Source organism: Homo sapiens, chromosome 5 (assembly GCF_000001405.40).
Source record: "Homo sapiens chromosome 5, GRCh38.p14 Primary Assembly".
Taxonomy (NCBI): Eukaryota; Metazoa; Chordata; class Mammalia; order Primates; family Hominidae; genus Homo; species Homo sapiens.
The window spans coordinates 55,020,956-55,047,155 of record NC_000005.10 but is presented as its reverse complement, the minus strand read 5'-3'; the positions used below and the strand labels follow the sequence as shown (position 1 = coordinate 55,047,155).

Genomic DNA, 26,200 nt, shown 5'->3' with positions numbered 1-26,200 from the left:
CTTTTTCATTTGCACTGGAAAGAGGTGTTGCCTGTGAAAACCCTGGATTCATCAATTTATTCAGCAAATGTTTATTGAGTATCTACCATGTGCCAGGTTCAGTGTGGGACATTTGGACATCAGACACAGATAGACATGGTCTCTGCCCATGAAGCTTACATCCTAGCAGGGGAGATAGACTTCACAGAAATGAATGAATTATAGCACAATGAAACAATCACAGTGCCACTAAGTAGTACAGACTTCCATAAGAGAACCACATCATCACTAACCCTTCAGTGGTGCCTACCACATTCTTACGGAGAAACAAACACTTAAGACCTAGACTCTATTCTCTTTTATACTGGTTACAACCACTTCCAACCTCTTGGTAAAAAAATTGGCCAAGAAAGGAAGCCCAAGACTCTGTGCTTCACTGAGAGTATCTTTTAAAAATGCATTTTCATAATGCATTAGCTCAGAGAAGTTTTTGGACTCACAGTACATTAGGCTACCTTCCTTATAGATAAATGAGTCTTTGAGTATAGAAAATATTCACTAAGTTATAAGATTTGCGTTAACCTCACCAACATTTTCAAATTTTCATTCATGTAATTAACTGGTCTACTTGTAGATTGCACACATAAATGGTTGAGTTCTTTACTCAGCAAACATGTATTGAGCATCTACTCTTTGTCAGAATCTGTACCAAGACGTAGAGACACAAAGATATGGAAGGCACAAAGCGATGAAAATTGAAGCGAGGAGAATTTTTCCAATTCTTTATGTGTGAAACTTAAAAAAAAAAAAAGAAAAATGAGACATCATATTTATTGCAGCGTTATCTGGGATTGAAAAACACTGGAATGAATCCAATCGTCCATCCAACCAGAGGACTGGTTGAATAAATTATTGATACATCTATACATTGCATACCATGTAGCTGTAAAAAGGGATGAGGAACAGTCATCTCTCCATATACATGGGGGATTGGTTCCAGGACCCTGCCTCTTCCTACCTCTGTAGTCACCCCTGTGGAATCCACCTATACTAAAAGTCAGGGTGTACATCCCATGAATACTGTATTTTTGATCCACATTTACTTAAACAAATCTTCATATAAGTGGACCTGCTCAGTTCAAACCTGTGTTGTTCAAAGGCCAACTGTGCTGCTATACAGTTATATCTTCAGAATACAATATTAACAAAAAGAAAAAAAAGGAAAAAGAACAAAAAGTAAGATGGTAAAGTATGTTAAATATGCTATCATATAAGAAAGCTAAATTAAAAACAAATGTTAATAACATTTTTAAAGAGGATAAAATTAACTTTTAATAAAGTAAAAACATAATTGTCTAGTGGAAAGGGAAGGAAAAAGACTAATCAAAGCTGTAGTTCTCTGAATAGCTCTTGTTTTGTGGATTTGATTTGAAACTTAAGTGACACAGGAATTTGTCTATAAATCCTTAATGGGACATACCCTAAAGGAAAAAAAATTCTTGCAAGACAAACCAAACTTCCCCTAATAATAAAATGTGCTTAAACTGTTTTCAGTAATCATATTTCGGTGATAGTATTGATATCATCATTGTGAGACCATTACGTATTATTTTCTGAAAAAAGAAATGAGTAATTATGCTTTTTGTCCTTAAGAGCTTGGATTTCAACATGAGAGAACGGAGATGTAAATGTGAGAATGAAATTAGACAAATATTCTGTGGACCCAATTTCCAACAAGAAGAATCAGTATGAACTTACATGTTTTCTTAAAAAACAAACAACCTGCTCCCCAAAACAAAAACAAACAAAAAACCAAAATTTCTTTCCTAGCTATACCCCCAAAAGAGGCCTAGAAACAATGACTGACCCAATAACTAGGACCATTCTAATGAATTAATTAAGGGATCTAGGCAGTGATCAATGCTGCTAACATCACACCAAAGGACACTGATATTATGTACTCGTAACAGAAATACAAACTTTACCTTGCCCCCAAACTGAACCTTAATCTGCTCAAGCCTCTAGAACTCACTACCAATTATCAGAAAATTGAATGGAGAGAGTGACATTTTAAATGACACCATGGAGATGTAATACTCAGAATCCACTCTGGCAAACCCTTCAGGAAAAATGGGCAGTTTCTTCAACGACAAAATTACAAGGAAACAAAATGATGTCAGAAAAATCCTATACATTCAAAGAGATTTAAGGGACACATTAATACGTTTCAATATATGGGTCACGTTTGGATACTGAATTGAATACATTACTTGTTTAAAAAACGAGACAATTGGAGAAACTTGGACATTGAATATTGTTTGATATCAAATAACTAATGTTAATTTTAGAAAAGATGCAAAATAAGATTAAACAATCACAGTAATGATATCAAGGTTATGCTTTCAAAAAGAGTTCTTGTCTTTTAGAGCTACATAGTAAATATTTACAGGTGACATGACATAACGGTGGGGATTTGCTTCAAAATAATCTAGAGTTGAGGGGACTGGGTGGGGTAGAGATGAAACAAGGTTGGCCATGAATTGAAAGTTGTTGAAGCTAGGTAATTGGTTCATGGGACTCATGAGAGTAAGCTCTTTAGCATATGTTAAAAATTTTTCATAATAAAAGCTTAATTACAAAAAGAGGCAGCCTGTTTAATATAAGGTTTACACTCTGATTTCACTTAGGCTTGGTCTGAGTTTGTTTAGGACCTGTCAAGTGGTTCCTGTTTCCTTAGATACCGAAAAATATTATTATAAAAAGAAAAATTACTTTGCTGAGATACTTTTTCCATGTACTCCCCTCATATAAGAAAAATTGGGGGATGCCAAACCTGTGAAACTGAGACTGGGACAAGGAGCCTCCTGTGGTTGCTGACTAGCTCTTTAGAGCTCTGCTTCTTGCATTTGGTCTCTGGTACTTATATCCAACAGCCATCTGTGGCTGTGGCTTGGAAATGATATGGCATCAGAAAAGGAGGGAACTCCAAAGGCAGGGCTTTGTCAATTGCTCAAAAAAGGGGAATGGAAGATGTTGCCTCCATCCAGCAGCATAATTAATGAGAAACATTTTTGAATCCAAGATCATGGATTTTTAGGGCTCCTAGGAACTTTATATTTTGTCTAGTCCAAATCACTTATGTGGCAGGGGAAGAAATGGAAGCTCAGAGAAATGAAGTGACTTGGTCAAGGTTGCAAAGCTAATAGCATTTTTGGGACGAGAACCCATATTTTACTGATTTCCAGAGTTCAGTGCTCTTTTCTGCACATTACATCTGGGGTGGTGCACCTTGATTTGTTTCTCTGTTTTTAGTATGAACTCTCTAGAATCTATTCCATGAATTCTCTGGAGCAATGTGCTACTGCGATGTAGAATTTTCTGTTCTTTCAGTACAAGGGGGAGACAGGGGCTATTGAGGCATGTGTTGGGGTGTGGGGGAGTGGGGTGATTTTAAAATAGTTGGTATAATTGGCTGAAAGAATCTCCTTAGGGTAAATTGTGGCTCTTGCTTCATATGAGGAAAGCTGCATGAGTTTGTGCTTGCCAGACCCCATGAAGGAAGTTATGGGACAAGCAGGCTCTAGAGTCAGATTACCTGAGTTTGAACCCATGCTCTTCTGCTATTTACTCACGGTGTGACCTTGGACAAGTTAGCAATCTCTCTGTACCTCATCTATGAAGCGAAGATAGTAACAGCACCCACATCATGGTCTCATTGTGTAGATTTAATGGGTTAAGATAGGTAAAATTCTTAAACCAATATCTGGCACCATGCAGGAAATGTGTGTGATCTCAGAGGGGAAACTGGATGCAAACAGCCGTCAATGGGCATGACCAATAGAACATACACATGAGACTGGTAGGTATCTTGGAATTTCAAATAGGGCCTACTTGCTGAACTTACTTGTAGGGTAGGATTTCAGGGTGTTAAAAATCTCCTTTCCAGAACCAGTTCGGTGCCTGAAAGTCTCAGCCCTGGATTCACTGTGTTACAATCCAGTGTGTTATCTGGAAGTAGCAAATGTAATCATGTAAGTCATTCACGTCTCATAGCCAACTCATTTATCATCTGAGGGAGCTAGTCATGCAGTCAAGCCTTTCTGGTAGGAAACATGGTCAAGGAGTAGTGAGTGCCTCCAACGCAGCTGTAACAGATACCATTGGTGCCTCTGGCACTTGCCTACACAACAAAAACTCCTTGCTACAAAAAACCAAAAACAAACCTGCAGCTCTGTCTGAGAATGTTTTGTGTTTTTTTCCTAGCTGTGGGAGTATATTCAGCCTGTATTAGTCCATTTTCATGCTGCTGATGAAGACATACCCGAGACTGGGTAATTTATAAAGGAAAAGAGGTTTAATGGACTCACAGTTCCACATGGCTGGGGAGGCCTCACAATAATGGTGGAAGGTGAACGGCACATCTTACCTGGTGGCAGACAAGAGAGAAAAGAGAACCATGCAAAAGCGGTTTCCCGTTATAAAACCATCAGATCTCGTGAGACTTACTCACTACGACAAGAACAGTATGATTCAATCATCTCCCACTGGGTCTGTACCACAACATGTGGGAATTATGAAAGCTAAAATTCTAGATGAGATTTGGGTGGGGACACAGCCAAACCATATGACAGCCCATGAGCAGGACAAGCTGGAAGGGCTGTAAAGTTAATGACCCTGGAGTGGCTCTCAAGCAATGATGGTGGGAGGTTGGTTGGTAAGGATCGCAGCTTCCTAGTCCCTCATTTGGAATAGCTCTGAGGAGTGTTCCACACTGTCTCCTGGAGTTCCCAGTGGGATTGTGTTCCAGTTGCCCATAGTGATAAATGCATGAAAATGTACGCTTTATTGGCTTTTTATTCTCTCCCTTCTCACTTCCCTACTTTCCTATCAGTTTCCTGGTGTTGCCTTCCAATGAGACTCTTTGCACCAAATCTGTACCTCAGGATGTGCTTTTGGGGGAGCCCAAACCAAGATAGCCTCATCCAAGTGTTTGGCTGGGGTCTCCCAGCCTCTTGTTTCTTCTGCCTCTCTGAATTTCCACATCTCCAACCACAATTCCAATCCTCAAATTTAGAGATTATTTTTCTAATATTATTTTTCTATTTTAGGGATTATTCGGCTACTACTTCAGTGTGAAACAGACACCTTGTTGTCCTCAAATATTTCTATTGCATTCTACTTGGGGTAGCAAGGAAGTGGGTATTGAGAAGTAATGATTATCAGTGCCAGGAAGGGGAAAAACTGTCAAAACACCATTTCTCTGCAGAGTTCAAGACTTCAATCCCCTTGACAACCAATTCCTAAACAACATCAGGGAGTTCCATTTGGGCTAGAGGTAAGTTATCTGACATCTCTTGTATCAATACCACCATCTATAAGATTTGCGGTTTATACCTGTCTTCAGATTTACTGACCCTGATGGTATTATTATAACCACTGCAAATTCACCAAACTTCTTTGAAAGTATAATTTTATACAGAATTGGAAAATGTTAACATTTCTAAATCCTTTAAGTATGCAATGAACTGAAGAGGACAAACATTTTAGGAAAATTAATAAGGTAATTAACAGCTTAAAGTTCAATATTGCTAAAAGCTGACTAAACTACTGTAGTATTTAGACAACGATGACAAGGCCAAAACAAGTAACTTTGAAAGTAATCTCTTTCAGACCAATCATACTAATCATTTTCTTAACCTTTTTTTTCCTCCTTGGAAAGCAATGGCAATACTTACTAAGTCTTATATAAAAGATGGCTCATTGAAACTTTCAAATAAATAATAATAATATTCAATGTTTATATAGTGCTTTTTTCCTACCATGGAGCTCAAAGCATTATCAAATAATTATGAGATTATTTCTATTTTATGCCCAACACAATCCTTGCCTTTATGAAGTAGTTATGATGTTTTAATTATTATATATGTCTTTAAATGGTTCCAGAAGCAGAGTTATTAATTGATCATTCACTCATTCAATCATAAATCAATCATTAATTGATACAATAAATTCTTTCATTCATCCATCCATTCATCCCTTCCCCTGTCTATCCGTTACAAATATTTATTAAGTAGTCACTGCATATGAGGTCCTCTGCTAAGTTCTGCCTGTACAGTGTTGATCAAAACAGATATGGGCCCCAGCTCTCATGGAGCTAATAGCATAGTGAATTTTACAGCACAAATTCTAGTAACATTTCTGTGATTATACTATTTCTATCTAAAAATTTTTTGAAGGCTAGTCAAGTGAAGCAATGGGAGTGGAGGAGGAACAAAGAAATCCATAACATTGTGATCAATTAGTTTAAACACCATTGCACTCAGACCAGCCTAAAATGTTTTGTGAAATATGTTTTTCCTAATTAAAACTCAAATAGTTAATTTGAGGTATAATATTTTTAATGACGTAGATTCGAAAGTGAGAGCACTTGGATAGAGAACACAGGTCTTGTGTAAATATGGCTGAATCTGACAAACCCTAATCTGTAGTTTGTGCAGGTTACTGCGGTTTGATCACTCTATAAGGTGGGAAACTCTCCAGCACCAGTCCTCCAGTATGGTAAGGCAGGACAGCAGCCCATGGAAGCCAGTACATCAGCCCACTTCTGTTTTAATATTGCTGAGTTGCCTTTATTTGAAAAAAATAAAAATGAAGAGAACAGAGGTGGCAGGTAGGCAAAGTTTGGGATAGGTATGTTTTAGAGTTTCCATGCTTTGTGGAATTCACAAATTCTTCTCATTCCCCAAATCTCCAAAGCTTCTAAAAGGTCAGATGAATATTTTTTTTTTTTTTTTGAGAGAGAGTCTTGCTCTGTGGCCCAGGCTAGAGTGCAGTGATGCGAGTTTGGCTCACTGCAACCTCTGCCTCCCGGATTCAAGCAATTCTCATGCCTCAGCCTCCCGAGTAGCTGGGACTACAGGCATGTGCCACCACACCTGGCTAATTTTTGCATTTTTAGTAAAGATAGGGTTTCTCCATGTTGGTCAGGCTGGTCTCAAACTCCTGACCTCAGGTGATCCTCCTGTCTCAGCCTGCCAAAGTGCTGGGATTACAGGCGTGAGCCACAGAGCATGGCAATAATCATTCTTGCTTCATGGAAAAAGCTGAATCATCTGTTGCTGAGGGAAATGGAACAGTTCCTCCTGAGACATCTCTGCTGGTCACGTGTTTTGCCTTGGATGTCTCTATGGAAGACCACAGAGGTGTGGGAGAGAGCTGAGTTCTTAAAAGGAATAAATGTGCTCACCTTTATTGACATGGTTTTATGATGGGAATTGCTGTAGCTTGTGTTTTCTTTTATCCGGTTGGAGTGGTTTGTACAAATCTGGTGATCTAGATCTTTCCCTCTCTTTACCTTAGGATATTTTTGAATCAGGTCTCATCTGCATAGGTCTAGCCAGGTAGGGCCAATTATTTGTCCTCCAGGAATTCTGAATGACTGACTTACGCCTGAGGTAAGTCGGTTTTCTGTCTCATGTGCATATCTGTATTATAATAATTTTTGTGCACGTCTGCATTGTAACCAATTTTGAAGCATAGTATATTTGTTTATTTTCATATGTATGTTTATTTGCATGTAAACATGGACATGTCTAGACTATGAGTTCTTGCACGGCAGGAATTGTATCTTTTCCTCTTGCTCCAGTGACCAGGTCAGTGTTTGGCAAATGGAAGTGCTTGATGTGTTTGTTGAGTGAGTGAGTGAGTGAATGAATAAATGAATAAATATCTCTCTCTCTAGATGCTAAATGGTGGGGATTCTGGAATCTATCGAATTGGTTGTTAACATGGCCATCCCATGTGCTGTTGACTGACCCCATATGGGACTGCTTTGATTTCCTACAACACTGCTAATATTCAGGATATTACTGTATCAACTGTCTTCCAATAGAGTTGCTTTTGTAGTTTGATTTGGAAACAGTGCTGTATTACTTCAAATGATTGTGAAATAATAAAACAAACAATAACCTGAAATGCCAGAAAACATTATTTTCATGGCAACTTTTCAAAAAACAGTTCTACAAGATCCATTTACAAAATATACATGGATGGGGCTGGGCGCGGTGGCTCACGCCTGTAATCCCAGCACTTTGGGAAGCCCAGGTAGGTGGATCACGAGGTCAGGAGATCGAGACCATCCTGGCTAACACGGTGAAACCCCGTCTGTACTAAAAATACAAAAAATTAGCCAGGCATGGTGATGGGCACCTGCAGTCCCAGCTACTCCGGAGGCTGAGACAGGAGAATGGCGTGAACCTGGGAGACGGAGCTTGCAGTGAGCCGAGATCGCGCCACTGCACTCCAGCCTGGGCGACAGAGCTAGACTCTGTACCCCCCCCCTCAAAAACACACACACACACACAAAAAACACCAACGGAGTAAAACGTATTACAGACTACTGAGTGCTATGTATCATTTTTATAATAGAAACAAAAATGTTTGCCATATAGCAGTATGTGGTTAAGATAAAAATAGCTTGTCAGGTAGGCCAGGGAAGTTTCTCCATAGTAAGCTATAGATGAACAGTGAGGGGGAAATCGTTTATTGATTATAACATTTAAATGTTAGTTTTTCTTAATCGATTCTTGTATGAATAAGGGAAGGTGGAAAGCTAAAGCCATTTAGGATTTGAGAGGGTCTGGGTATGAGGGGATAAAGGCATATGCTTGTCATTGTTTGGAGCATATATCAGGCATAGAAGTTTTAGGTTCCCAATTTTATTATTACGATTAGGTGGGATGTATACAACAGAAAGCTTCAAATAATAGTGGATTAAATATTTTTTATTTTTATTTTGTGTAAAAGAAAAAGTACAGGATTGGCATGGAGGCTCCTTGGTCATCAGCTGCTTCTTTCCACTTCACTGTCGGTAGCACTTGGCTTCTATTTAAGTTTGCCTCGTGGTTCAGCATTATTGCTGGAGCTTTAGCCATCACATCTGCAATCCAGGCAGTAGGAAGGAAGAAGGGGGAAAGGGCACTTCTTCCAGCTGAGTCAGCTCCTTTTATAGGCACTTCCTAGAAGCCCTCAGCCAATCACTTTCACTTATTTCTCATTGACCACTACTGGCAAGGAGAGAGGTTGGAAAATACCATGTTTTGGCTGTGCACATTTGTGGTAACAAATAATATTTGAGTTTTGATGCCAGAAAAAAAGAGGAGATGACTGAGTAGCAAACTGGTAGTCTCTAACCTTCAAGCAGATTACAGGTAGTCTTGCAGTTTTGGGAATGTCCCATGTCTCTTCAGAGTGATTTTATGTATCTTTGCTCTGACCTAATATGTATAGAGTTTAAATTTTAACTTTCAGAGAGCAACTTTATTCAATGTATTTGTAAGTTCTCAGGGAAAGCCTCAGTGTAAACCCATATGCTGACTCTAACAGGCTGTCACACAGACATTTATGGCTAAAACCAGAAAAAGAATGTGATCCTTTCATGGTAGAACATAAGAAGTGATGAGGAGATTTTGTTAATCTAGAGTTGACTGGTAAGATTCAGCTAAAAGACTGGAGAAGTCAACAGGAAGTCAATGTGTGAAAGCGTGAAAGCGGGGCTGAATCAGTTGACACAGGAGCCCAACCGTTCAGCCAGGATGCGTTTGGTCCTCAAATAAGTCATCAGACAACATACATATAGCTTTTCAGGCATGTCTCAGTAATCTTTTGAAATTGTAGGGCTTTTGAGACATCAGCTGCACTGCCCTTGGGCAGGTTGCACACAGTGTCCTTTCTCCCTCACCACAGGTGTGTCTGGCTTAGTCAACTTGGGATGCTATAACAAAATACTGCAGATTAAGTGGCTTAAACAAGAGCAATTTATTTCTCATGATTCCAGAGGCTTGGAAGCCCGAGATCATAGTGCTGACCAATGCATTTTCTGGGGAGGGCCCATTTCCTGGCTTGTAGATGGCTGCTGTCTCACCGTGTCCTCACATAGCAGAGAGAGGGAGCAATTGAGCTCTCTAGTTCTTTTCTTGTAAGGACACTGGGATCTCATTGAAGCAGGGCCCTGCCCTTATGATCTTATTTTACCTTATTTATCTCCTTATAGGCCCCACCTCCAAACAGTCACACTGAGCTTTAGGCCTTCATCATATGAATTTGGAGCAGACGTGATTCAGTCTACAGCAGTGTTCTTTCCCAAACTAAGAGCTTAGTAAAAAAAGAAGCACTTCTTTGATTGACCAATAGCACCTTCCTTTAATCAGATAGTTTTCTAAAAACAACCAAGCTTGAAGCACTGCTCTTCATATCATTTTAGAGTGAGTTGAGATTTAATATGTGCAAGAACTAAGAGAGTCAGAAGGTAGGACTAGTTCTGCTACCTGGTTCTAGACTGGTTTAATTGCTTATTTGAATCAATACTGATGTATTTCATGTATTATATCTGGACTTAGTGCTGTCACTTTCTATTATAACAGGGTGGACATAAAATAAAGCATAAAGCCTTCTTTTGCATCTGTGTGGAAGGCAAATATACTCTGTCCACAACCACAAAGAAGGGAGGAAATGGAATGATTGGAATGACAACAGCAAACCACTTTGCTCTAAAACCTTTGAGCAGTTTTAAAATCTGGATATTTGCTTCAGTTTGACTCTCAACTTCATTTTGAGGCCAAAGATAGAATCAAATAGGCTCTCGAAGACAGAAGTTTCCAAATAAAATACTATATTCTTTTAGGGTATGTTTGGGAGATACTGGTACATTTAATAAAATACTACTTCCCTGAAGGATAAGGAATGCATTTCAGTTGCAGTTTCTATCATTAGCTGCTTGTCAAAATAAACTGTTTATCTTCCAATTTCAGAGTTGCCAGGTCTGCCACAGCTGTTGAAAGAACCTTCTCTGGCAATCTGATCAGGTTCGACTATTAGATATTAACAACAGGGTGTCTAAAATCAAAACACAGCTCTCAAGTTTTAGTGACAGCTTTTCAGGATAACTTATTAGCTGGAATTAGGGACAATGGCAATAGTCCTTTTGGTTAAAAAGATTTATAATGGTATGTTTCATGGATTTGAAATTTAGAGAAAATAGACACAGGATTATTTTTTAATAAGTCCAGAGAATCTACAATTTTTTCCTTTTCTTTTGTTGTAAAATGTAGTCTCATAATCAGTATACTTTTAATAAATCAAAATGACACAAGATGAGATATTTAAAGAACCTTCTTTTACTATTTTCTCAATAATTTAAAAATTATTATTCTCAATAATTTTAGTTAGGTTGCCTTTTTAACCCAGTGCTTCCATTTCTCTAAGTATTCATAGTGCGGGGTAGTGCTGGTTAATTGTTTCTAAGAACCATGACAAAAGATAAGCCAATAAACAAACTACCAAAAGCATCTATTTCTATATGCATGTAAGAGAACTTGATGTTGCCTGGAAACGAGAACTATTTGTCCCCCCAAACTCAAATTAAATATAGAGGCTGAGATTAATCTTTTGGCTTCTGACTGTTGACGCCATCCCCCACCAATCTCCCACCATGCTCCTCCGCCCAAATTAGAAACTGTTACTTCTCTAATCACTGGACGACCACAGTCCGAGACAGCTGAGATCCTCCAGTGATCTTACTGAATTGCACTTTGGTCTGAAGCCATCAGTTCACAATGAGAGATTTGTAACAATCCCTTCACATCAATTGTTGTCTTTATTATAAGAAGTCACTAAGGATGTTCATTATCAGTGGCTTTCAGATTTGCCCATTTATCAGCATCAACTGAGTTGCTTTGAAAAAAACGCAGATTTTCAGGCCCACACCAAGCCTATTCAATCTGAATTTCTAGGCAAGGGGTCAAGGGAACCTGTATTACAAATAATCTTAGAGGTGGTTCTGATGCAGTTGGTGGGGATATGGGACACATGGCACAGTGTCCTTCTTCTTCTTCTTCTTCTTTTTTTTTTTTTTTTTTTTTTTTTTTGAGACAGACTCTCGCTGTGTCGCCCAGGCTGGAGTGCAGTGGCGTGATCTCGGCTCACTGCAAGCTCCGCCTCCCAGGTTCACGCCATTCTCTGCCTCAGCCTCCCGAGTAGCTGGGACTACAGGTGCTCGCCACCAAGCCTGGCTAATTTTTCGTATTTTTTAGTAGAGACGGGGTTTCACTGTGTTAGCCAGGATGCTCTCGATCTCCTGACCTCGTGATCCACCTGCCTTGGCCTTCCATGCACTAGGATTACAGGAGTGAGCCACTGCGCCCGGCCGTCACAGCGTCCTTCTTATGAGGACCGTGGAAAAAAGTTCTCTCTAGTTTTAGTTCCAGCACCAGGGGTCCTACTTCTGGGTAAACAATTTATTTTTATTTCCTGGACACTGTAATTCATATAATTGATTGTGTTGCTCTTTCTTGCGTTGGCCAAAGCATAGAGCCAAATTTGAATCCTTCTAGCAAATGTACAGAAATAAACTTCTGGCACTATCAGTACCATGTGACCACTCCGGCCTTCATCTTCTCTTTCTTACTCTCATTTCCCCATTGTCCCAATACCTTCATCAATTTATTTTTAATTCTGCATTTTGTTTTATTGCAGGCGTTGTTGTACATTGCTTTCAATCCTTTCTGGAACAAAATATGACATATATAAATAAGAAATACTGTCCAAATATTTGTATAAGCTGCTTGCTTGAATTAGGATATTTATATTTATGATTTATATTTAAAAAATACAAACTCATAGAAGCTTAGAGTAGAATGGGGTTGCCAGAGGATGGGGGTGGTGGGGAAATAGAGAGCTGCTATTCAACTGGCATAAAGTTTCATTTATATGAGATGAAGCAGTTCTAGAGATCTGCACTGCAAGATCATGCCTATAGTTAACAATAATGTATCATACCCTTAAACATTTGTTGCAAGGGCCTATCTCATGTTCAATGTTATCACAACAATGAAAAGAAAACAACCCAACAACTTAGGATGATCCAGCAGAAGTTACACCTAGTTGAAGGTGGTACCATTACTGTTTTATTCAGTGACCTTATTGCCCTTTGGCGAGTGTGGGTGCAATGGGGGCAGATATTACTTCATGTGATAAAAGACAAACAGAGAGTCTTCTAAATTTTATTTAGAATAAAACCAGCATGGTAGAAATACATCAGTGATACAAGTGAAAAAGAACTTGATTCCTTAATAAAATGACTTACAAGTGCAAAAATGGACCCCATATGTGCTCTGCTTTACTTACACCCAACTCTAACCTGCGAGCATATTAGGAAAAAAGAAGCAAGTGCATCCAATAAAATTATTTGTAACTTAATTTGTATGAGGCGGGACAAGGTTGCTTTTGATCCAAGTCTGGTATTTCTTGGTTAACAGGGTGTAGATTCCAGGCTTTGTGGCAACACCACATTCATGACCTCCAGAGACTATAGCGTGGAAGACACCTTTACAGATCAAGGGGCCCCCTGAGTCACCCTGGAAGGAAGAAAAAGGGCAAATACGTGGTAAGAAGCTGTTGGGATATTTTTGTTTTTTAACCACCAACTGCTGATTGCTCAAGGGATTATCATCTGGGTCTTTGCTTTCTTTATGTCCAGAAGAGTGTCTGACACTGCCTCTTACTCGTTATAGGTTGTCCATGTGCCTGTCTCTGTCAAGGACTATGTTTCTGCCTACTTGCTTCTCTGTTTATGTCTCTATCTATGACTATGACTATGCCTCTGCCTCTGTCTCAGTGTCCATGTCTATATCTCTGTTTTGTCCCTATCTATGTCTACATTCCTCTGGGAATCAATGACTATTGACTATTTATTAAAGAATGGATAAAGTTTTAAATAATCCACTGAAATAAAATAATCTTTTAAAATTGTAGATTTCATTTTGATGCTCACAGACCTAAAATCGAGTTGTTATTGAGGCTAGCAGAAAAGAGCAATGTATTGTAGTAAATGTCTTCATGGCAGGAATTATATGTTCTCTGTTATTTATTTATTTTTTGCATCCTCACATGGTTGGACATAGTGTTATGTATATGTACCATACTTAGTAAATACTTAGTGAATGAAATGATTTTTGAAGACACTCTAACAGCAAAGCATGTAACTAAATTCTATCAAGTGAAGGGAAAGAGCTATAGAGGGGATGGCATGGCCTTTTGATGAAGAGCTGGCTTCTACATTTGAAGACCAGCCTTTCTCTTTGCTAATGTTCACATTGCAAACTGCAGTGCCTTATACTTTGGTCAACCATGATAACCGATGTTTAGGAGGGTGATGGTCTTGGGTACTGCAGATGCACAAGACATTTGAAGTCATCATATCCTCTCCCCCAATTATACTTAATATAGTATGAGATGAATACTGTATTCTAATTTTTAAAAAATTAGTAATTCATTTGTGCTATATATTAGTATAGTTCATACAAACATGAACACCTATTTTTTTCCTTACCATCTCAATAAACAAATGATTTTGAAAAACATAATGACTCTTGTTCCTTTTTTTCTTTTAAGACAGGGTCTCATTTTGTCACCCAGACTGGAATGCAGTGGCAAGATCTCGGCTCACTTCAGCCTCAACCTCCTGGGCTCAGGTGATCCTCCCCCCTCAGCCTCCTGAGTAGGTGGGACTACAGGCGTGTGCCACCACACCTGGCTAATTTTTGTATTTTTTGTAGAAACGGGTTTTCACCATATCGCCCAGGCTGGTCTCAAACTCCTGAGTTCAACAGATCCATCCACCTTGGCCTCCCAAAGTGCTGGGATTACAGGTGTGAGCCACCATGCCCGGCCTTTTGTTCCTTTTTGTTAGTCAGTGGTATGGTCTGAAAGTCTGATTCCTCCGAATTCATATGTTGCAATCCTCACTCCCAAGGTGAGAGTATTAGGAGGTGGTGATTTTGGGAAGTGATTAGGTCATGGAGGTGAAGGCTTCATGAATGAGATTAGTTCCCTTATTAAAGAGGCCTAAGAGAGACCCCTCACCCCATCTACCATGTGAGATTAGAGTGAAAAGAAGCTGTTTATGAACCAGAAAGTAGGCCCTCCCCAGACACCAAATGTGCTGGTGCCTTGATCTTGATCTTGAACAGAATAAAGTTCTGTTATTTATAAGCCACCGAGTTTATGGTATTTTGTGGTAGCAGCCCAAACAGACGAAGACAGTCAGTCAGCATTACTTATGAAACACATACTGTATATTTGAGCTTTTTGCATTTGAGTCTTTAAGGCCTCCTTATTGATTAATCTGCAAGGTGGTTCTTTAAATAAGTTATCTTCTAATCACCACTAGTGACTTCAGGGTTGGTAGACTTTGTAAGGAGGATAACACCTCTCATAGGAAGCCTGTAAAAGTTGTCAGATATGGTCTATTATCCTGATTAACAAACATTTAGTGGGTGCTTATAAAGTATTGGGGAAGTTTTTACAATCCATCCACATTGGTAGATGAAAAAGAATAGAGAATGCTGTGCAGGAATGAAGAGAAAGTGTTTAGAATTGTGGTTTTGTATTCTCCATGCCCCTCCCTCCTCCTCAGTGTCAGTGAGCAATAGAGGCTTGGCTACTGTACAGCGCTCCAAGATGCCTGTTTGAAAGAGAGATTCTTACCTTACAGGAATCCTTCTGGCCTTTGGCATCTCCTGCACAGACCATGTCTTTGGTGATAAAAGGGTCGCCGTTGTAGTAACTTTGGCTGTTGCAAAGTTTTCGACTTAGGACAGTAACAGTGACTTCTCGCAGGGTGTCAGAAGGTCTTAATGAATCTGGATCGGTGGCTCCCCAGCCAGTAACCTTGCATTTGGTTCCAGATCTAAGAGAGGTTTTGGATCTTATGTGGAGCATCTTGACATGTTTATTGAGTTTTGCGGCTGTTTGAAGCTGACAGATTGAAAAAAGATGGAATTATTTCTTTCCCAGTAGTATTCTGATGCTAGCCTGTGCGTCGTATGTGTGGTCCCTCTGTCTTAGGCGGGCGTCCCTGTTCTGGGATCTACTTTGGTGGTGGCCTGCAGCTGCATTTGTGGTTGTTGCTTTTCTGACCATGCTCTCTACTCCCCGAGGAGCTCACTGAGGCTTGGGGCGGGAGCTTATAGAGAGCAGGAATTTGTTCAGTCTCGAGCAAACTGGCCTTTGCCCTGCATTGGATGGTTTTGTGTGGAATAACATCCATAGGTCATGACTTTGAGGGCTGGGCTGCTTCCTGCCGGATAGGACCCTTGAGTATGGTCTAGACCAAGTTCGGACTAAATTAAGTGTGGTCTAGACTAAGCTGTAACTCACTGCTGAGCCCCCGAAGTCACTTGGTTGGCTCTGTTGTATAAACAACTGTTGTATTTTTTTACTTGCTAATGAGAAAAGCATTTGGGAGAAAAGCTTTCAGTGTGGATCCTTGGGCCTGTTAAGATGTTCCCCTCCTACATATGTTGAGTATCAGAGTTGCTTTTCCTTGTATAAACACAGCCCTGGTGCATTTGTGATAAATTCTTGTTTCTTTCAAGACAGTATATGGAATAACATGGGCCCTTATAAAATATATCATAATCACCTCAAACATGGGGAGGGTGCTAGCAAAATGCATTTTGTAGGTGATTTAACTAATTGAGCCATCCTGTATAAAAATGTTGACAAAATAGAAGGAAGACAATGCTACTACCTACCTTAACCAGCATGATATCATTTGATTGAGGATCTGATGTAACTCTTGAGAATGGTATAAATTTTTTGATCTCCAGTGTTTGTTTGGAGGCCTCATTCTTTGAGAGAGAGTGTGCGCCTAAAACCACAGTGGGAGACTGGCCTTTGGTAAACCTAAAAAAAGCAAAGACAATGAAAGCAGCAGAATGATTTCCAAATCCCCCAGTGGGGAGTGGTGATGGTCGAGAGGGTTGTATACACAGAGAAACAAGGGCTATCTCCAAGGTAACCTGCCTAAGATTAGGTGGAGTGACAAAGGTCTTAGTGGAGCCCAGCATGAATTGATATTAAGGGCCAAATGACTTGCCCTTAATCCCACCCTAAACCAATTCCCTGGCATTGCAAAAGAATATCAGAACTTGTATCCAACTGGGGGAAGAAAAAGGAGTGAAATCCTAATTGACTTAGATCAAGTTTAAAACAAAATTATGTTCATTTATGTAAAAATAAAGCAAATTATATTCCTTGAGTTTGTAGTTTGAGATTTACACCAACTACCATTAAAATTTGTTTATTGTGGTAAAGTATACATAATGGTATAAGAATGGTAAAATTTACCATTTTAACCATTCTTTAATGTACAGTTTGGTGGTATGAAGGACATGTATATTGTTGTTCATCCACCACTATCATCTCCAGAACCCCAGAACTTTTTTTATCTTCCCAACATTAAGTGTTTTAATAATTAAGGTAGCCAGGTGTGGTGGCTCATGCCTGTAATCCCAGCCACTTGGGAGACTGAGGTGGGAGGATCATTTGAGGCCAGGAGTTTGAGAGAAACCTGGGCAATACAGTGAGACCCCCATCTCTAAAAAAACATTAAGGGGCACACTGGTGCATGCTGGGCATGGTGGTGCATGCCTACAGTCCCAGCTGTTTGAGAGGCTGAAGCAGGAGGGATTGCTTGAGTCCTGGAGCTGGAGGCTGAAGTGTCACAGCCTGGGTGACAGAACAAGGCCCCATCTCTTAAAAACAAACAAACAAACAAACAAACAAACAAACAAAAACCACAAAGATCCCCACCCTACACTTGCTCACCCACATGCCTAGACTTCATCTCAGGTCAATGTGGGGAAGTAAGGCCTATTACATGACAGTCAGATATGTCCATATGTCCTGTCCCCTCAATTAGAACAAAGATTTGGACAAGAAAGGAAAACTTTCCTCAAGGTAAGAAAACAGTGCTAATTTAAAATGAAGATACTTTAAGGTTAGTAGCCATTCCATCGGGGAGATTTAGAGGATACGAACTGGTGAGTGAGGTGAAGAAATAGGTTTGTTTTTTGGCTTTCTTTTTTAACGTTTTTTTTTTTGAGAAGGAGTCTTGCTCTGTTTCCCAGGCTGGAGTTCAGTGGCGCCATCTCGGCTCACAGCAACCTCCGCCTCCCAGGATCAAGCGATTCTCCTGCCTCAGCCTCCCGAGAGGCTGGGACTACAGGCTTGTGCCGCCACACCTGGCTAATTTTTGTATTTTTAGTAAAGACGGAATTTCATCATGTTGGCCAGGGTGGTCTCAATCTCCTGACCTCAGGTGATCTACTGGCCTCAGCCTCCCAAAGTGCTGGGATTACAGGCGTGAGTCTCTGTGCCTGGCAAGGTTTGCTTTTTAAATCTCTGGTCATACACAGTTCTAGTACCAGTGTTTCAACAGTGCCACAATTGATCTGATTTACTCTTTGTTGGATAAAATTACATTTACAGCAGTGATAAAGTAGAAATAATTTTTTGGAGATTTTGGCAGAACCGTAGAGCCATTTGTATACTACAGATACATTCCATTACAGTGTCTATCTTTATGAAGTCCACCTCAGATCTTTTAATTGTATTTGTTTGTTTACATGTAACTATTTCTTTGCTACTTGGAAAAGCTACCAAAGTAGATTGCAGTAAAAACACACATACTCATGCATATAGATTAATAAAGATTAATAAAAGTTACAAAGAGCACAGAAACATACAGAAAAAGGAAGACATGATTGTTTCAGATTTGAAAATGGCAAATGCCTGTGGTAGAGTGGGTTTGCTTATGGCAGAGCTGTGACTGCCTGGAATGACCACTTTTTGGTTTCTACCAAAAGAGTTTATTTTTATTTATTTTGGGAATTCCAGCTCTATTTGTTGAAAAGTTTGCCTATTGCAAAATCAGGACCGGGTGGAAATTTCTCATAGGATGTGGACTGGATTTCCTAGGATTGATTTGAATTCAAATTCAACATACCCACTAAACCCAAAACTTTGTAGGAGAAGGATGACATAAAAATCTTCAGGATGAATGCTCTAACAGAAAGGTGGGCACGTGCCTAAATGACTCACACAAAGAAGGCTATGAGGTACAAATGAGAGGTATGGAGGGTGGATTCTCACTAAGGGAGGGATGCTGAAAAAATGTCTGGGTTTCTTTCGTCTTTTACTAATTTACTCGGCTAGTTATTGCCTTTGAAATGTTTTGGTTATTTTTGTCTCCACTGGGACATGTTAAGACCAAAAACAACCCAAGCAGACCATTATTCCTTCTGACCTTTCAATTTCTAGATATCCTTCAACTGTAATCTGTGCTACTCAGGTCAAATTTTCTGCCCACAGGGTACCTGGAATTACTTGAGTTCTGGGATGCCACCTCCTTAGCTAAACTGAAGTCTGAATTCACACAAAGAGGAAGTAATAATGCCAGTGTTTTTCAGTTGCACAGCACAGGATTTCCCCAAATGCAGTCTTCAGACTTGCTTCAGAATCACCTGGAGGTGTTGGTTTAAAATGTGGTTTCCGGAGTCCCACCCTGAGCTTTCCTGGAAGAGATTCATATATGGAGCAGAACTACAGTGCGGCTTATAGTGGGTCTGCTGAAGACATCTGTAAACATTGTCTCCATTGAGCCTAACAATAACCTTTTTCAAGGCTGGTAAAGCTGACGGGCTGTGTATTCCTTACCAGTAAAAGATTGTTCTCTGACTGGTCCAAGGTGACACACCTCATAAATAGGGGAATCAGGACCCAAATTTGGCTTTTGGTGACTCCCAGTCCAGTGCTCTTTCCTCAATCCCTCTTTGAACCCCGTGCCAACCCCCTTCAAGCCTCTTCTTTTCTCTGCCAGCGCGCCTGGACACTCAACAGTGGTTCTGCTTAGACCCGCCCCTTGAGGTCTGGCAGCAAAGGCAGGGTCCCTATGTCTTGGAGATTTCTCTTGCCTAAGAGAGAGGGAGAAGAACTTGGCTGTCAGAGAGGGAGGTCTTCCCAGTCTTATCTCGTCAACATCAGATTAGTTCCTTGGTTATTACCATGGAAGGCACAGATAATTGTATAACAATACTCGATAACATCTATTAAGTTCTTTGTGTTCTGTGCTAAGCATTTTACAAAGCTTCCCTCATTTAAACCGCACAACAGCGTGGTGAGATAGGTATTATGACAATCCCCATTTTATAGATGAAGAAATTGAGGTTCAGGTAAACGAATAAACTTGAGGACCTTTGCCTCCAGGAGGCAAATTCGGGCAGGATTAAAGCTCAGTTGGCTTGAATCTAGAGCCTGAACATTGAACCATTTTGTTCCAGGAGCCTTGAGCATTTGAGATGGAGTGAGGCCATGTGGAAGGGGCTGTGGAAGGTTCCATCTAACAACTTGCTAGGCAGGTTGGGGCAGGAGGAAGTGCTCTGTGAGAGGGGCCTGGGAGAGAATCAGGAGAACAGGGTACAACAGCTGGTGAGAGTTTTGCTTCTGGTAAGTTAAAATGCTGAAAATAAGTTTGTACAGGACATTTTTTATCAATTTCCTTTTATATTTGACATGGCAACTAATAAAGGGGCCAGAATATTGAGGGAGGAGATGTGTGGATGGCTGGTGAGAAGGGAGCACTCCCAGGTTTGGCCCTCTTCAAAATTTTGCTGAGAGAGAGGCTTGGGGCAAACTATTCCCACAGGATACTGGGGAGTACATTTGTGGGAAGCCACCATTGAGCTATTTTGTAAATATTTTGAATTTCATAAAGCTTAATATTTTTCCAACCACCGATCTGCCTACTTTTTACACCCAAGTGTCCTGTAGAGGAAATTTGATCTACATATTTTGCAGTTCTTTATACCCCAGCCATTTAAAATGATATTTAGCAATAGTTTGTTTTAAGAAAAAAAAAACAAAACACAAAAAACTCCAAGACCTCTCTCCAGTCTTTTGTCAATAATCTCTTTCCCCAATTTGGGAATCCGCTTCTCGTGAGTTAAATCCACTTGACAAAATTTAAAATTCAACTTAGTGATATTATTTAATTTCCTATAACACTTTATGGCTAGTGAAGCACTTTTTCATACACCATGTTTCAGGCCTAGCCAAAGAAAGAAAGAAAGAAAGAAAGATCTTTCAGTGTATTTCTTTCTTTCCATCCAAAGTTTGTTGAACATTTAGAAGTCAAGCTCTGTGTCTGGGGAGGTTATAGACCATTTGAATGTGTATTATGAGCATATTTGAAGATGTGCATATTTTGCATCAAATGAACATTCGCTGACAGTTCCCCACTCTGTCTCTCTGATCTCGAGGGGGCAAATGCCCTGGAGAAGAGAGAAGTGATGGGGATGAGAGTGTGATTTCTATGAGGGCAAGAACCCTGTGTAAATGAAGTAACCATATTAAATTGGAAATCAGTGGCTTGCTATTTAGAGATAGCAGAAGATCTCCCAGTTTGCAGGCTTCAAAACTTCCAATTTGTGATCAAACAGTTCCATTTAAATGGGGTAATCAGACAAAACCCCCAAAGCATAGAAAAGCAAATCAATTCAATTGTTCTGTTTAGATATAGACAATGCCTGGAGAGCAAACCATTACAGCTAAGAGAGATCTTTAAGTGAAAGAAAAGGAGAAGGCTCCATTTCAGCTTATTAGGTAAGAAACATAAGGAAACATATATACAAACAAAAAACAAAACCAAAAACCCAAGCAAACAAACAAAACAACAAATACCAAATTAGTTTTCTACTGGCATTTCCTTTTGTGATGGTTGCAGCATCCCAAGAGGGGTTTTGTGCTTTATTAGCTGAAGTAAGAGAATCCTAGGCTGAAATGGACTTTGGAAGGTTTTACTCTGTCTTCAGAAAAGCTTTCATTCTAAGTATCCTAGAAAATAACTCTCTCATTATCTTTCTCTTTCTAGAAGTCATCAATAACTTGTTTTTTTCCACCTAGGAAAGTTGTAAGTGGTGAGTAGCTACTGTTAGGTAGCTACTGTTAGGAGTGGCAAAGTAGGCTTCTCATGCGTATAATACTAATGATAATAGCTGCAATTTTTTTGTGCTTACTAAATGTGCCAAGCATGCTAAAATACTTAAACAGATACTATTTAATTCTCAAAACCCACAAAGCAGGTATGATATGATTATTACCCCTTTGTAAAATGGGGAAGCTCAGAGCACAGAGCAAGCTCAGGTTGTCTGATTTCCTTTTGAGCAGTGTGATCTAACAAGGTCAAGAGTACTGCTGCTTCAAGTATTACTGTTGCTGTGTTCCCTGCATTATACAGAGGACTTGAATTTGTCTAATGTCTTGCCTGGGAAAAGCAGCTCAGTTCTCTCTGAAAAGGAAAACCCAAGACAGAAAGCGTGGATGTGGAAGAAGGTAAATAAACGCCACCAGTTGGTCAGTAACCACAGAAGCTAACAGTAGATCAAATTCTCATTCAGGAGAGGTAAGCTTCTCTTGTACCTATAATAACTTTCAGAAAAAACACATGTCTGGAAAAGTGTGGAGGACTCACCGATATTGGCAGTGGGCTGCTGTCAGCACCCACTGTGGATCAATCAGAACACCTCCACAAACGTGATGTCCGCCATACTGGATGGAGGCCATAAATGGCCTGGAATGAGGTGACACTTCTTTCCCTCCAATAATTTCCATATTGAAACCTACAAAAGTAGACCAAAAGGTTTCACACAAAAGATCTAAACTACTGTTTCATGTAATTCTTCCAATGACAGTCACTATATTATTTTCAAAGCTTAAAAAACAACAATAACCCTACCTAAAAGCTACAATAATTTTACTGATGAAAAATTTGTATAATACATTACAGTTCAGAAAGATAGGAATGATTGTGAAAATAATTTTCATCTATAATATAACAATATAGTCAGTAGAAATTCATTTAATGTTTACATGTAGATATAGGAGATACTTACACACATGAGTCATATAAGCCCCAACTATTAGGAAAAACAGAGAAAAGGAAGAAAACTTAGTCATTTTAAAGATTTAGATTTAAGAAGCCCAGATGAAATGTGTTGATCCTGTGATGAAGGAAGAAGATTCTGAAGACTGAGTTTTGTTCTTGTAAGTTTTGACTTTCTCACCACAGGTGCTCTAGGGGTAAGATTTTTTTTCACACCTAGGTGTAAACGTTATGTATCAGTTTGGGGACTTTCAGGTCTGTGCTTTTAGCACTTTTTTGTTTTGTTTTGTTTTGAGACGGAGTCTCTCTCTGTCGCCCAGGCTGGAGTGCAGTGGCGCGATCTCGGCTCACTGCAAGCTCTGCCTCCTGGGTTCACGCCATTCTCCTGCCTCAGCCTCCCGAGTAGCTGGGACTACAGGCGCCCACCACCACATCCGGCTAATTGCTTTTAGCACTTTTTTGGGAGAGGTATGTATGCCATAAAGAACTCATATCTGGAGATACCATCTCTAATACCTGTATCAGAGTACTTATGCTATAAAGAAAATTTATACTATATGTGTATATAATATTTATAAATGAAAAATATCCATGCCATAAGAATGTAATGAAGTTGCAGACAGAGTTCAAAGATGTCCATTGCTCTCAAGCAATACTTACTATTTTTCCTGGCACAAAATGGTGCCTATCATATTTCATTCTTCTCTCTTTTTCATTTGGACATAGATTTATGATGAAGAGAGACATGGACCTTGCACAGATTATGGTTACTTCACAATGTGGCTTAGCTAAAGCCTGAGCACCAACCAGAGAAAACCATATGTTTTGCAGCAAACATCCCTACTCATGTCGTTTCTCTAAGTTTGCCCAAATTTGGTTAAATTTTAGTTACATTTTTGTGAGATTTCATAATGTTGTTAAAGGTGAACATTGGCAACTATTTTTGATTCAGAGTCTCTCTTTTACTCATTTTTAATTGAAAATGGCCATGTGTTTTTCCAGGGACTTAATAATAATGTCTTTTAAAAATAAAGGACTGCATTTTGTAATTCTTCCCAGGAACAGATGACAATGCATTGCCAGGCCTTCAATACAAAAGGTATTAGACTCAAGATTCTACAAGATTCTGTTTGTGCCAGACACTGATCAGCAGTGCAAATATAAAATGAATACAAACAGATCACGCATCAGAATGCCAATCACTTCCTAGTAACACTGATCAAAATTTGCATTAAATCAACAGATCTTTCTTTTAAGAGGTATGCATTTTATCTTCCATTCATTTTAGAAAGGAGAATTAAAATCCAGAGCTATTATGCTCGGCAGATTGCAAGAGACTCCTTTCAAATTGTTTTCTAGCACAAAGAGTAGGAATAATAAAAAATAATACTATAATTATGTATTATTCATTATAACTTAATAATATATAAGTAAAATACCTTATTTCCAAAATTCTTTTTATATGATCATTTATGGTTTCATGTCTATGTCTTTGAGGAAAGCAGGACAACTTATGTTACAATGGAAGAAATAAGTTCCAAGAGGCTAAGTAATTTGCCCAAGGCAACACAGCTTATGACCTAGACCAAATCACCTGCCTGACCTCCCTGTATGTTAAGTTGTATGTGAATGAGTACCCTCCCAGAACACAGAATTTTATAAAAAACCTGCTTTCCTTGTACAGGTGTGTGGCAACAGTAAAGCTTTCTACATGTTAAACAGAATGAACAAAACCAACGCAGAGCAGTGACTTCCTGTCAGAGCAGAAGGTGAGATAAGGAGGAGCCAGATTAAGAAAAGCCACAAGCTTAATAAACCAAACTTATTACTCCCACTCAAATGTCCCTGTGAATTTTCAAGTCATCTTTGTCACTGTTGATGTACCTTGGATGCTCTACTGTGTGCCATTGTTCCACATTGGAAGGCAGACAGGATGGCGTCAGTTCCCTGCTACATCCCAGTGATGCTGGGATCGTAAGGAAGATGGTGTGTGACAGGTAGAAGTGATCCAAACTCTAAGGAAGAAATAAATTGTAAAGGACGAAGCTTTGTGTGTGTGTGTGTGTGTGTGTGTGGCGGGGGAAATGGGAATGGTTACAAACATCTCTCAGCTGCTTATTTCTGAGTAGTAAGGATTAATGTCCACATAGCGTTGTACAAATTGCTGAACGTTTTTAGCTGTATTTCCAGGGAAGTGGTTGTCATTAGTCTTGTTTTATGGATAAATAAACTGAAATTCAGGGACTTGCTTGAGATTACCGAGCTAGCAGGTGGCCCTTAAGCTCCTATGTGCTGGCTCCCGGCTCTATGTTCCTTTCAACCTGGCTACATGCCTGCCTCCTTTGAGAAGTCCCTGGGGGTTTAGGGGCTCTGAGACACAAGCTAGCTGTGCAGAAGAGAAAAAGGATTTAGCCATACACACTGCGTGTAATTAGACATGGGTGAGATTTAGTTCAGTTGGGAAGAGTCTCATAACTCTTTCTTGTAGCTGACCTAGAAAATTCTGAGAATCATGTTGGTTAATAGTAATGAGTTATTTGGTTTTGGCTTTAGACCGATTTGCCAGTTAATAGTATCATTTGTTATTATATTCACGATTCTGGATTTGAGAACAGTGGGCTGTGTAACATGATGAGCTCGGCGATCTAATTTATTTCTGGGTGTTGGTTTTTGTTCTGTTGAGTCTGCTGCAGGGAGGGCCATGTTTGCTTTGGATGGCTTTACAGCAACTGTACCGGACTGAGCAAGTGCAAGGCTGTGCTCAGAGGAGGGCTGGCTTCACACGTCATAGCCTTGTGGCTCTTCTTTGCTGTGTTTAGCTGTCTTTCTTGCTGCTCTTAGAGATGTTTTGTTTCTGCTTCTCCTGTGTTTCAGGAGACCCTTATAGAACAGCTGTGCCACTGCTCCAAAGGCCTCGTGTGGTTCTATCCCTTGGACTGCCTTTCTTCAACAGCCCAGACACCTGCTCTGTCAGATTTATAAGCCACACCCCCTAGAGCCATGCCAATCAAAGCATGGCCCGCAGACCTGTGCCAGTCTCCGAACCTCTTTGTTACCGATTTGGAGCAAGATGGGGACAGAAATTGAGAGCCAGAGTTTAGAAACTGTAACAGCGACTTAACATGGCACTGTATTAATTTATTTTATTAATGAAATAAAATTTGTCCAATCTAATAAAAATTGGGTGTGTATTTTGTATGCCTTTGTTTTTTATTTAATTACTTTTTTCTATTTATTTGTGTTGTATAAACGTATCAGTTCACAATGGGCTGAAACTAAAAACAAACAAATTAACAAACTAAAACTCCAAACACATTGGTCTTTCCCACAGGTAGTCTGAGAAACACTGCTCTGTAGACATAAGTGCAAAGCAGATTTGTTTCAAGCTCTTCCCATTTATTCCCTTTTACATTCCTTTGAAAAATGTTCTCAATATCAAGT

At 39.6% G+C, this 26,200-nt stretch overlaps 1 protein-coding gene and 2 long non-coding RNA genes across 3 annotated transcripts; 2 read left to right on the top strand and 1 right to left on the bottom strand.

Annotated features, from left to right (window-relative positions):
- The first annotated feature begins 4,908 nt into the window (after window positions 1-4,908).
- Window positions 4,909-7,605, top strand: LOC105378971 (uncharacterized). Its single transcript, XR_948333.3, has 3 exons — window positions 4,909-5,314; window positions 6,468-6,649; window positions 7,339-7,605. It is a non-coding gene; the product is annotated as an uncharacterized LOC105378971 (long non-coding RNA).
- A 4,980-nt stretch (window positions 7,606-12,585) lies between these two features.
- GZMK (granzyme K) lies at window positions 12,586-22,900 on the bottom strand. Its single transcript, NM_002104.3, has 5 exons — window positions 22,770-22,900; window positions 22,349-22,496; window positions 16,572-16,722; window positions 15,523-15,792; window positions 12,586-13,391 (listed from the first exon to the last, which is right to left on the bottom strand). Exons 1-5 carry the CDS (start codon window positions 22,831-22,833, stop codon window positions 13,230-13,232), a joined length of 795 nt encoding a protein of 264 aa, NP_002095.1. The 5' UTR covers window positions 22,834-22,900; the 3' UTR covers window positions 12,586-13,229.
- An 86-nt stretch (window positions 22,901-22,986) lies between these two features.
- Window positions 22,987-25,857, top strand: LOC102467081 (uncharacterized). Its single transcript, NR_104662.1, has 3 exons — window positions 22,987-23,227; window positions 24,444-24,528; window positions 25,634-25,857. It is a non-coding gene; the product is annotated as an uncharacterized LOC102467081 (long non-coding RNA).
- Window positions 25,858-26,200: the final 343 nt, after the last annotated feature.